General features: G+C 39.4%; 1 protein-coding gene and 1 pseudogene across 1 annotated transcript in view, besides 1 other annotated feature; one reads left to right on the top strand and one right to left on the bottom strand.

The window, feature by feature from the left end:
* The window catches only part of PHLPP1 (PH domain and leucine rich repeat protein phosphatase 1), a 264,893-nt gene that overhangs the window by 237,135 nt on the left and 14,787 nt on the right, over nt 1–12,971 (bottom strand). The window lies entirely within an intron of this gene.
* Nucleotides 1,789–2,083: an enhancer, noted in NCBI's record as "tiled region #7810; HepG2 Activating DNase unmatched - State 1:Tss". NCBI's record gives its function as "activates a minimal TATA promoter and a strong SV40 promoter by Sharpr-MPRA in HepG2 cells {active_cell/tissue: HepG2}" and the evidence as "EXISTENCE:reporter gene assay evidence [ECO:0000049][PMID:27701403]".
* RNU6-142P (RNA, U6 small nuclear 142, pseudogene) lies at nt 11,967–12,073 on the top strand (annotated as a pseudogene).

The raw sequence follows: 12,971 nt of genomic DNA, 5'->3' as shown, positions 1-12,971 counted from the left end.
AAAAAAGCTGTTTTTAAGTTTTTCCTATTCACTATCACTTAATCTACTCAAAAATAGGGAAATGATGCACAGGATTAAGACAACCAAGAGAGGGAAAAAGAACAGAAAATAATACTTCAATAATAACTATAAAGAAACTAATTAACCTGCCCCTTAATTTAAAAATAATTGACTTTGTAAGTAACCCTGGGACCTCTCTTGTTTATGGATAAAAAGTGTAAAAAAAAAATCCTAAGCAAGTATAATTTCATTTAATGTCTCCCTAACAGGACATACAAATTAGAATGCTGTATTCCAACTCCATTAAAATGGAAATTGGTTTTTAAAGTATTAAGAGAACACACTGAATTGGTGATTTTTAATGTCCTCAATCAAACATCCTTGATGTTCAGCACAGTTTATTATCATTGGGGGTGAGTTACGGGAAGCTGGAATATACAGCAGGGAATTTTATATACTCATTCAATAAGAGGTACTAATTTTTCTTTTCTAAGAAAAGGAAAATGAGTGTGCTGGGATGGGGCAGAAACAGAGTAAAATAGAGCTTCCGATAAAAATTTTAAAAGGCCAGCTGCAGTGGTTCACACCTGTAATCCCAACACTTTGGGAGGCCGAGCCAGGTGGATCACAAGGTCAGGAATTCAAGACCAGCCTGACCAACACGGTGAAACCCCGTCTCTACTGAAAATACAAAAATTAGCCAGGCATGGCGGTGGGCACCTGCAGTCCCAGCTACTCAGGAGGCTGAGGCAGGAGAATCGCTTGAACCCGGGAGGCGGAAGTTGCAGTGAGCCAAGATAGCGCCACTCAGGCGCCCAGCCTGGGCGACAGAGCAAGACTCCATCTCAAAAAAAAAAAATTACATGAAGCCAGTAAAAAGACTATGCCTTTATTCTCAGACCACACCCCTTTGCATTCTGGGAGCATCTTGGGGCCTCAGATAACATAGAGTCAATCAATATAGCTGTATAAGGAACTACACAGCTGTGTAGGTGGCTAAAAGATGAAGAAAGTCATGTACATAGGAAGAACAGAAAAAGTGGTTGTTCTTGTGTGTTCAGATTATAGAAAAGACCGCGTTACTTTTATCTTCCTTTTCTCTTTTCTCCCTCCTACTGATAAGATAAAAAGTTAGGAAATGATAGTCATGGCACCTGTCCTTGAAAAAGACAAATCTAAAGAACATTTGATAACTCAATGGAATGGTTTCCCATTATCTTAAAATCAATTCCAAAACACTGGCCTCAAAGGCCTTTGTAGCTAGACTTAACAGAGAATTCATATATCTACCTATTTTGCATTGAATTTAAGAGGAGAAAAACTATAATGACCAAAGCATTCGGTCAGGCAGAAGTTAGCCCCAGACCACACACCCATTATATGGCCCCTTACAATTTCCTGATATTCTCAATCAGTACACTATATTCACACTGGTCCTCCCTCTAAGTCCTTAAACTTGCCGGGCTTCCTACCTCAGGGCTTTCAAACACACTGTTTCCCTATTTGCAATGCTCTTTCACGTACCCTGTAACCCAAGCTACTATTCAGTCCTCAGGTCTCAGCTTAAACAAGAATTCACTGCATACTAGATTTCTTCCTCGTGGCACACATAACAATTACAATTAAACAATTATTTATAAAAGTATTTGGTAAGTTTACTCCCTACTTTGAAGTCACAAGGGCAAGGACCTTCTTGTTAAAGAGTGGCACACAAGAGGCACAAAGTTCAAGAAGTATTTGCAAGAAATTGAGAGGAAGAACCCTATAGTACTGTCTTACGTTTTATGATAATCTGCGTCCTTGTGCAATTGGCTTAAGCTTCTGAAAAGGCAGAGGATCTGGTGACTCATCTTTTCCCCCAGCCTTCAAAGCACCTTATACCTTGGGAAGCAAGCACTCCACATCTGAATTGACTAAGTAGACTCAGGGAAAAAAAGACAGTGTCCCATATGAAAAAAAGTTTCTGTTACCACTAATCAGTGACTTTTGAACACAAACAAACCTTTGTGCCAACAACTGCTAGCCCAATAAATACAAAGTTCCTGAGCAAGTAAAAAACAACCGAACTCTACAGCCATTCCACCAGGGCCTATAAAATCAAGAACGGTCTATTATTTTTTTCCACTCTTACTGCTGTTTAGCAATTCATCATATGAAGAGTGAGCAATTATGGTTCTTTCTCAAGAGTTTCTATCCTAGTTCTCAAACTACCTTTATTAAAAATCTACAAAACACAACTTTGCTACGGGAATATAAAATAGCTAGATGATCTGAAGACATCAGTAAATATTTGAGCAATTATATTCTTTTTTTTTTCTTCTTTTTGAGACAGAGTCTGACTCTGTTGCCCAGGCTGGAGTGCAGTGGCATGATCTCGGCTCACTGCAACCTCCGCCTCCCAGGTTCAAGCAATTCTCCTGCCTCAGCTTCCACAGTAGCTGGGATTACAAAGGTGTGCACCACCACGCCTGGCTAGTTTTTGTATTTTTAGTACGTATGGGGTCTCACCATGTTGGCCAGGCTGGTCTTGAACTCCTGACCTCAGGTGATCCCCTGCCTCAGTCTCCCAAAGTGCTGGGATTACAGGCATGAGCCACCATGCCCAGCCATAATTATGTTCTTAAGAAAAACTAAAATAATGCTCGTTTTTGTTTCAATAACCATAATTTAAAATCTTGGCATCTAGCCCAGTCCTAAGCACAAAATGAAAATACAATGCTTACTACAATTAACAAGATTTCCATGATAGGTTTAGCATGGTTTCTTAACAGTGTTTATTATTTATTAATTGTCCTCTATACCATCTGGTTTATATCTACATATCTACCTGAACTTAAAATTTACCATGTCTTTATGTTCACTTTATAAACAGATTTAATCCATGAGTTATTATGATAATCTAAGAATGGAAAATACATTCTTCAGAATCAGCTCTTACCTGTAAGTCATAAGAAAAAAGAAGTCATAAGAAAAAAATCAAATCTATCTCAGAAATATCCATAAATGAGTTTATAAACAGAAAGGAAACAGAATATAATAGAAAGCACAATCCCAGCTTGGTTATTTACTACCCGCAGCTTTCATGAAGGCTTCTGAACATCCTGCCTTTCTGCCTCCCGACCTACCCACCCTCCCTCCCGCCCAAACACATACACACCCCTACAGATTAGGAGCAGGGAACTACAAGCTGTGCTTGCTATCAAAACAAACCTACCCAATGCAAGCATTGCCGAACCTGTAAAACCAAGTTTGGCAATCAGCTCCTCCACCTCTCCTTTGTCCCCGTTTCCCTTCCAGTGCAGTAAGGTGCTTTAGGATGGCCCAAGGAAGGATCAATCCTCCAAAAATTCAGCAGTAGTTGAAATCACTCATGAATTCACAACAGATGGTATACACTATGATTACTTGGTTGATGAGCTCGAGAAAAAGCATATTACAATAAATATTGAGATGTGACTCTTCTTTACCTTCTAATTCACTAAGAAAACTGAGGCCAATTGAGACCCAAAGACTTCCAGAGCTCTTACAAGAATCTCTTTATCCATCCTTCCTAAAAGCCTTATGGAAACAGACGACCCTCTTCCCACCTAGGGTTAACTCCTTCATGGATGCTCCATGCCTGCTTATTTCTTTCTTTCCTTTGTTTAAATTTTTCCCCTCTGTTCATCCATCATCCTTAGCCTCTTTCTCCCTCTCTCCCTTCAGGATAGAAATACTGTTCAAATTTCTGCCTTCAGGGCCTCTTCTCTTCTTCCACTGAGATATAACTTACATCTAATAAAGCACACAAACCATAAGGGTACCAATCAATGAACTGTTGTATATGTACCCACCCAGAAAACTAAAACCCAAATCAATACAAAGAGCAATATCAAGACCAGACGGCTCCTCATGTCCCTTCCCATCCATATCCCGCTGAAAGGTAACCACTACAATACGTCACCAAAAATTAGCTTTGCCAGCTAACTGACCTTCATATAAACATAATCATAGAGTTGTATCTCCTTCATGTCTGAATTATTTCACTCAATATAACTCGCTACTACTTTTTAAATATAGGCATTCTTCGGAGTTGCTTCCTAAGGCCTTTCCTCACTCTAACAATTTCATTCAATCCAAAGGCTTCAAAACTACTATCTGTCTAGCATTTTCATTCAATCCAAAGGCTTCAAAAGTACTACCTAAATAGAGATGATCCTGGAGCTCTTCAGACATACTTGAGTATTCTTCAGGAACCTCAAACTTAACACATCCAAATTCTAACTCATCATCTCTCCCCTTACCCTAAAACCAATTCCTGCTCGCATATTCTGCCTGTTGGTTAATGGGATTATGGTCACCCCTAAACTAGAAACCTCCAAGTCATCCAGACATATAAAATGTTGTTGGTCTAGTTCACACCATATCCCTAGTTACCAACATGCAGGACATACAGTAGTCTGCACTTATCTGCAATTTTACTTTCCACAGTTTCAGTTACCCACAGCCAACCACAGTCCAAAAATAGATGAGTACAATACAGTAAGATTGACAGACCATATTCACATAACTTTTATTACAGTATTGTTATTAACTGTTCCATTGTATTAGTATTTATTGTTGTTAATCTCTTACTGTACCTAATTTAGAAATTAAACTTTATCATAGGAATATATGTATAGGAAAAAACATAGTAGAGTCATCCCTTGCTATCCAAGTGGTACTGGTTCCAGGACCACCACCCACCCCAAAAGATACCAAAATCAATGGACACTCAAGTCCCTTATATAAATATTTGTATATAACTTATGCATATCCTCCCACATACTTTAAATTATCTCTAGATTACTTATAATACTTAACACAATGTAAACGCTATGTAAATATCCAATAGTTGTTATACTGCATTTTTTTATTATTTTTTATTGTTGCATTGTTGCTTTGTTTTGGGGTTTTGTTGTTTTTGAGACAGGTCTCACTTTGTCGCCCAGGCTGCAGTGCAGTGGCACCATCACAACTCACTGCAGGCTCGGCCTCCCAGGCTCAAGCCATCCTCCCACTTCAGCCTCCTGGGCAGCTGGGACTACAGGCATGTGCCACCACATCTGGCTAATTTAAGAAAAAAAAAATGGTAGAGAAAGGGTCTCACTATGTTACCTAGGCTATTATTTTTTACTGTTTTTTTTTTCCTGAATATTTTCGGTCTGTGGTTGGTTGAATCCATTAATGCAGAACCCATGGATACAGATGGCCTACTGTATATCTAATGTTCTACCTATAGGTATAGGTACTACCCCCAGCTTCAGGCATCCACTAGAGGTCTTGGAACATACCCTTCTCAAATTAAGTGGGAACTGCTGTACTCAAATTAGTTCAGGAGTGAATAAAAAATCCTGAACTGCCCTTCCCCCCTCCACATATAATCATTCATTAAAACCCAACAATTCTACATTGTAAACAATTATCCTATGTTCATGGTTCTTCATCTGCACTGACCTCGTGTAGACCTTCATCTAACTTCTAGGTCCCCTGCCAAAAATGTCCTATCCCATCCACTCCAGCTCCTGGTCTACTCTTCCTAATCCTCAAAAGCATCTCCCACCGACCCTATCACAACTGCAGCAGAGGTGATTACCTCCCTTTTTGGAATGACAAATACCTTGTACAAACCTCACAAGCAGCACATTCCAAGCAGCACTGCATGCTTTCCTTCCCTGCCACTAGGCTGAACTCCCTGAGCCAAGGGCAGCATATCATTCCTTCGTCAGCTCCTAACAGGCTGTTTTAACACACAAAGTCAAAACATGTTTATCAAAGGCCCTACTAAGGCAGTCTTCAAGTTTCTAGTTAGTCCCTCGCCAATCTATCCTCCAGCTGGCTGCCCAGTTAATGCCAAAGACTACAAATCTAATCATGTCATTCTCCACTTGACTTGCTTATCGAGTCAAGTCCTTAGCATGTGAGGCCTTTCACCACATGGCCTCAACCTCTCTTTTAGTCTCATCTCCTACCACTTTTCATCTCATCACCTAAAATTTCACCACTCCAAACTACTCACCATTCCCCACCCACATCGAGCCCTGTCATTCATGCTGCAGTACCTGGCATGCCCTTTTCATGCAATGCTAGTCTCTCATTTTCTCAGAGAATCTTTCCCAGGAATCCTTTCCAGAGGATTCTACTTCCAGGGAGCTGGTATGTCAGCCTTTCTGGATTCCCCTGGCACTGTGTAAATGCCTCCAATAAGGCATTTCAAGTTTTATTATTATTATTTATGTAAACGTCACCTCCCATTAGATAGGAAAAACTCAACATTCAAAAGACATACATCCTAAGAGCTTCATAAATGTAATACATATTCTTTTTATACCTCCTCACTTCTGTCTGATAGCCATAGCTAGTGCTAGCATTTATTTTGTATACGGAAAAAAATAAATGGCTCCTAGAAGAAAACCAAGTAAATAAATAATGTCTATATCACTTCCTGAGAGTTACCACACATATGGTAACCAGTAGAAAGTGACAAACCTCCACTGAAATTTGGAAGCTGGGTGGTGAGCCAGGCCCATTTACCAACTAAACAGATGGCTGCAGTCAGCTTAACATGTATTACCATTTCAAACTCATGCCTCAGCAAAACCAGTCCTTCAATGTTAAATTGTAAATACCAAGAACAGAGGACACACTTTCATTCATTATGTCGCCAACTCCTAAGTAGTGCCTGGTCCTCAAGGATCACTGAATTAATCAGTGATATCCGCTACACAATCTGTTGCTTCCTACTTTTATGAACTGATCCACAATTCTTCCATCACCCAACTGTAAACTTGTCATCTTGGAGCTTCTGTTGCCAAAAGAGCCAGTTAGCTACTGAGTCCCAGGATAATATCCACATCAATCTCCTTTACTCCCTCCCACTGCCCTAGCTCAGGCCCTCAGTGTCTCGCCTGAACCACACAGTGGTTTACCTCCTTCAACTTCTACTCTCTCCCACTCCCACCATGCAGATGAAACTCCTGGGGATCTTGTTAAAATGCCGATTATGCAGTAAGTCTGAGGTGGGGCCTGAGATTCTGCATTTCTAACAAGCTCCCAGGAGAGGCTGATGGTGCTGGTCCACAGACCACATTTCAAGGGGCCAAGGCTCAACACAATGCAGTCAACAAGCAGAGGCCAGCTAACCATCAATCAGGAATGGACAAGCAGAGGTTTCTATGCTAGGTAAGAAACTATTAGATGCTCTCTGCCCCCTTTCGGTGCAAAGATTCCAGGCCATCTCTGGGCTATCCATGAGGTTCTCACCCATTTTATACAAGTGAAGCCTGGCAAAGCTATACTCTTTTTTTTTTTAATTTTTTATGTATTATTATTATTATACTTTAAGTTTTAGGGTACATGTGCACAATGTGCAGGTTAGTTACATATGTATACATGTGCCATTTAACAGACATTACTTCACTTATGGCATTTGTCAGGTTCTGATTTAGTAACTGTCTACAGACAACCCTGGTTTAGTCTATTCCAATATTACATACGTTTCTAAAAGATAAAGAAGATACTGTGCATGGGGTAAGTATAATTGTGCCTGTGATAGTACCCTAAAGATAAATGAACTGTACTACTTTCTTTTACCCATCATCAGGATTATCTGGAGGTTGATGCTACCTGGGGTAATCTGTCAGTTTCTTAAAACCAAGAGGGTGGTCAACTGGTTTTGTTGTTGTTGTTGTTGTTGTTGTTGTTGTTGTTGTTGTTTTGATGGGGGGCTGGGAAGGGGAAGTATGCATATCTATAAAAGTAGGAAGCAATGACACCTTCCAATTCTAATGGCTACAAGCCAATTCAGGATATAAAATAAGCATTCCAACTATACAAACAAGACAATCCCTACTCTCAGAAATGAACTTCTGTGTGGTATCTTAAGAATGACATCCTCGGCCAGGCAGGGTAGCTTATGTCTATAATCCCAGCACTTTGGGAGGCCAAGACAGGCGGATTACTTGAACTAAGGAGTTTGAGATCAGCCTGGGCAACATGGCAAAACCTCGTCTCTACAAACAATACAAAAATTAAAATTAGCCAGATTACAAAAATACAAAAATTTAAAATGCCAAATTACAGGTGGCATGCACCTGTAGTCCCAGCCACTAGGGAGGCTGAGGTGGAAGGATGCCTTGAGCATAGGAGGCAGAGGCTGCAGTGAGTGGAAATCGCACCACTACACTCCCGTCTAAGCAACAGTACCAGATCCTGCCTCAAAAAAAAGAAAAAAAAAAAAAGAATGACATCCTCTTAAGCAGTTCCAAGATGTTTGTAGAACTTTTCTCATCACATATTCATTTTGTGAATTAAACACCAAGTCCCTCACATGACTTGGTTACAAAGCAAGGGATCATTGAGCTTCTGCTTCATAATCACAAGGGCCAATAACTATTCTCCTCCTGATTACATTGGTGCTAACATTTCTGTTAACATCCCCCATAAAAATCAGCCTGTCAAGTGTTGATATTGCTCTAATGAGTTAACTGAAGTCTCTGTAAAAATTTTCACAGAGGGCAAATAGGTGTTATTTAATAATAGATGGTGGAAAATACCCACTGGCAGGTAATTAACCTGAATGTTGATTGGTTTGAATTAGAAGTATTTTATTTGGATTAGAAGCATGACTTATTTTAGTCAGACAGGCTGAAATAATTTTTTTTGTTACCATGGTGTTTCTCATAATTATAAAACACAAAAAGCAAAAAGCAGCTCATTTTCCAGTGTTGTCATCCACATTACTACAAGACAATATTTCACAGAGCCACTGCCATCTACTCAAGATAAAAATAATTTATAATAGGTCATTAGTAAAGACAACTTGCCATGTGTGTAGTACAGGTTTTACAGCCATGGATAAAAGAGCTAATAAGTTGTTTTATGCTTATATGAATGCTGAAAGATTTTGTTTCTTCCTAGCATAGACGAGAGGTTTTTTTAAAAATTCCTTCTTCCATGAAGATCCAGAGAGGAGATACAGAGGTTTTTAAAAAATGACCCCAGGTCATGACCAAATCATCATCTTCCAATTTTTACATGAATGTGGTGTACGTATGATACCAAACTAAAAAAAAGTACCTCCCTTCAGAAGATAAACAGCACTTCCCATCAACCTCATAAATCCATAGAAAAATAAAACCTCATAGGCCTTAAAAAAAAGAAATACAAGAATGTCCCTCAGTGTACTCTAGGCTACTGTCAGGCTTTAGTGCAACCTCCAGCACATGCACATTTGCATTTTTTTGTTTCAAAAAATCAAAACGAATATTTGCTTAACCCAGAATTTAGATCCTCACAAACTATAATACAAATAGAGCCCAAAACGATTCAAGTGATAAAAAGGCCCAGATGCCTGGAAGTATTTGGTAAATGCTAAGGATTCAACTGGAACTATTAATCCTAAACTCGGTCGACTGTATCTGGAACCAATAATTTAGAGTTGCTCCTAAAACAATTCAGGATCCCAGAACTGAAGCAACAGTCTACTCCTAGTCCTTCGAGGGCAACACAGTGGAGTTTGGAGGCTCTCTCTCCCCATTCCTGCTACTACAGTAACCTGCGAATACTATGTCTCCATTAGAACACTTTTCACCTTTTTATTGTTAATGCTGGCTTGTTTCCACAAACATGCCCTCAAATTGGTAAGTAATTCAAGGGATCCTAGACAATTCACATTAATCATCTTTAATTCAAAGGATCACGATATAGTAAATAATCACAGTAATTACTGATTAAATGAATGAATGTGTATAGGCATACCTCAGAAATACTGCAGGTTCAGTTCCAGACCACTGTTATAGGGCGAATATCACAATAAAGTCACATGAATTTTTTGGTTTCCTAGCGCATATAAAAAGTTATGTTTACACGGTATAGTCTATTAAGTTTGTAACAGCATTACATATAAAGCACAATGCACACACCTTAATTTAAAAATACTACTAAAAGGTACTAACAATGATCTGAGCCTTTGGCAAGTCATAATCTTTTTGCTGGTGAAGGGTCTAGCCTCAATGTTGATGGCTGCTGACTGATTCAGGTGGTTGCTGCTGCAGATTGGAGTGGCTGTGGCAATTTCTTGAAATAAGACAATAAAGTTTGCTGCTCAACTAACTATTCCTTTCACAAAAGATTTCTCTTTGATAGCACTTTACTCACAGAACTTTTTTCAAAATTGGAGTCAATTCTCTCAAACCCTGCTGCTCCTTTATCAACTAAGTTTATGTAATATTCTAAATTATTTGTTGTCATTTCAACAATGTTCACAGCTTCTTCACCAGTAGTAGATTCCTTCTCAAGAAACCACTTTCTTTGCTTGTCCATAAGAGGAAATTCCTCATCCATTCAAGTTTCATCATGAGATTGCAGCAATTCAGTCTCATCTCCAGGCTCCACTTCTAATTGTAGTTCTTTTGCTATTTCCAACACATCTGCAGTTACTTCCTCCATGGAAGTCTTGAACTCCTCATTATCATCCATAAATCAACTTCTCCTAAACCCATGTTAATGGAGGTTCTCCTCCCATGAATCACAAATGTTCTTAATGGCATCCGGAATGGTGAAACCTTGCCAAAAGGTTCTCAATTTATTTTGTCCAGATGTATCAAGGGAATTACTATCTATGGCAGCTATAGCCTTACAAAATGTATTTCTTAAATAATAAGACCAGAAATTCAAAATTACTCCTTGATCCATGGAGTACAGAATGGATGTTGTGTTAGCAGGCATGAAAACAACATTAACCTCTATGTACATCTCCCTCAGAGCTCTTGGATGACCAGGTACATTTTCAGTGGGCAGTAATATTTTGAAAGGAATCTTTTCTTTTTCTGAGCAGTAGGTCTCAAAAATGGGCTTAAAATATTAAGTAAATAATGCTACAAACAGGTGTGCTGTAATCCAGCTTTGTTATTCCACTCATAGAGCACAGACAGAGCAGATTTAGCAGAATTCTCAGGGGCCCTAGGATTTCCAAAATGGTAAATGAGCATCCGCTTCAACTTAAAGTCACCAGCTGCATTAATTCCTAACAAGAGAGTCAGCCTATCCTTTGAAGGAAGCCAGGTACTGACTTCTCCTCTCTAGCTATGAAAGTCCTAGATGGCCTCTTCTGCCAATAGAAGGCTGCTTCATCCATCTACACTGAAAATCTGTCACTTGGTGTAGCTGCCTTCATCAATGATCTTAGCGAGATCTTCCAGATAACTTGCTGCAGATTCTACATCAGGTTCTACACATCATAACTTGTGCAGCTTCACCTTGCACCTTTGTATTATGGACACAAGCTTATTTCCTTCAATCTCATGAACCAACCTCTGCTAGCTTCAAACTTCTCTTTTGAAACTTCCTCACCTTTCTCAGCCTTCAAAAAATTAAAGAGAGTTAGGACCTTGCTCTGGATTAGGGTTTGGATTAAGTGAATGTTGTACCTGGTTTGATCTTCTATGTAGACCACTAAAACGTTCTCCATATCAGCAATAAGGTTGTTTTGCCTTCTTACAATTCATGTGTTCACTGGAGTAGCACTTTTAATTTCCTTCAATAACCTCTTTTGCATTTGCAACTTGGTTAACTGTTTGTGGCACAGGAGAACTAGCTTTTGGCCTTTGTCAGATTTCAACATGCCTTCCTTTACAAAGTTTAATCATATTCAGCTTTTGATTTAATGTGAGAGACTTGTGACTCTTCCTTTCAATTGAACACTTAGGCCTTTATAGGGTTACTAACTGGCCCAATTTCAATACTGTTGTGTCTCAGGGAATAGGGAGGCCCCAGGAGAGGGAAAAAGATGGGGGAATAGCCAGTCGGTCAAGGAGTCAAAACACACACAACTTTATCAAGCTTGCCATCTTACATGGGCGTGGTCTGTGATGCCCCAAAACAATTACAATAGTAACATCAAAAATCACCGATCACAGATCACCTTAACAGATATAACAATGAAAAGGGTGCTCACTTCGGCAGCATATATACTAATAGTGGAATGATACAGAGAAAATTAGCATGGTCCCTGTGCAAGGATGACATGCAAATTCATGAAACGTTCCCTATTTTTTTTAAAAAATTATAAACAATGAAAAGTTTTGAAATATTGCAAGACTCACCAAAATATGACACAGAGACACAAAGTGAGCACATGCTGTTGGAAAAAACGTTGCCAACAGACTTACTCAACACAGGGTTGCCACAAACCTTCAATTTGTAAGAAATGCAATATCTGCAAAGCACAACAAAAGCAAGCACAATAAAACAAGGTATGCCTGTACAGTCTTCCATGTAACTGAGCATCAGTGCCCAACAACAGTAGATCCCATCTTCCTTAATGAGCCCTAATTAACTCTAATTAACATCTGTGGCAATTTCCCATTGCTAAAAATAATAAAACCACATGACATTTGTATAACATTCACAGTTTACAAAGCACTTCCACACGTATCATCAAATCTGAATCTCACAAAGTTCTTCAAAACAGTTTTTTTTTTTTTTTTTTGAGACAAAGTTTTGCTCATTGCCCAGGCTAGAGTGCAATGGCACGATCTCGGCTCACTGCAACCTCTGCCTCCCGTTTTCATAGGATTCTCCTGCCTCAGCCTCCCGAGTAGCTGATTTTTTTGTATTTTTAGTAGTGACAGGGTTTCACCATGTTAGCCAGACTGGTCTCGAACTCCTGACCTCAGGTGATCCACCTGCCTCGGCCTCCCAAAGTGCTGGGATTACAGGCATGAGCCACTGCACCTGGCCGAAAACAGATTTTTTTAAAATCACCTTTTTTTTTCTCTCTCTCTCTAATAAATGAGGCTGAAGGAGGTTAAGGGGTTTACTATAGGTCTCACATCATGTAAAGAAGCACAAAGACCAGAGAAGGGCTCCAGTGCTCTTTCCACCCCAAGGAAGAGCAGCAACAGACATCCCAAAATGTGGAGGGATGGTGTGTAAGAACTAGTACTGTCGTC

Source organism: Homo sapiens, chromosome 18 (genome assembly GCF_000001405.40).
Source record: "Homo sapiens chromosome 18, GRCh38.p14 Primary Assembly".
NCBI classification, from domain to species: Eukaryota; Metazoa; Chordata; class Mammalia; order Primates; family Hominidae; genus Homo; species Homo sapiens.
This window is presented reverse-complemented; position numbering and strand designations above follow the sequence as displayed.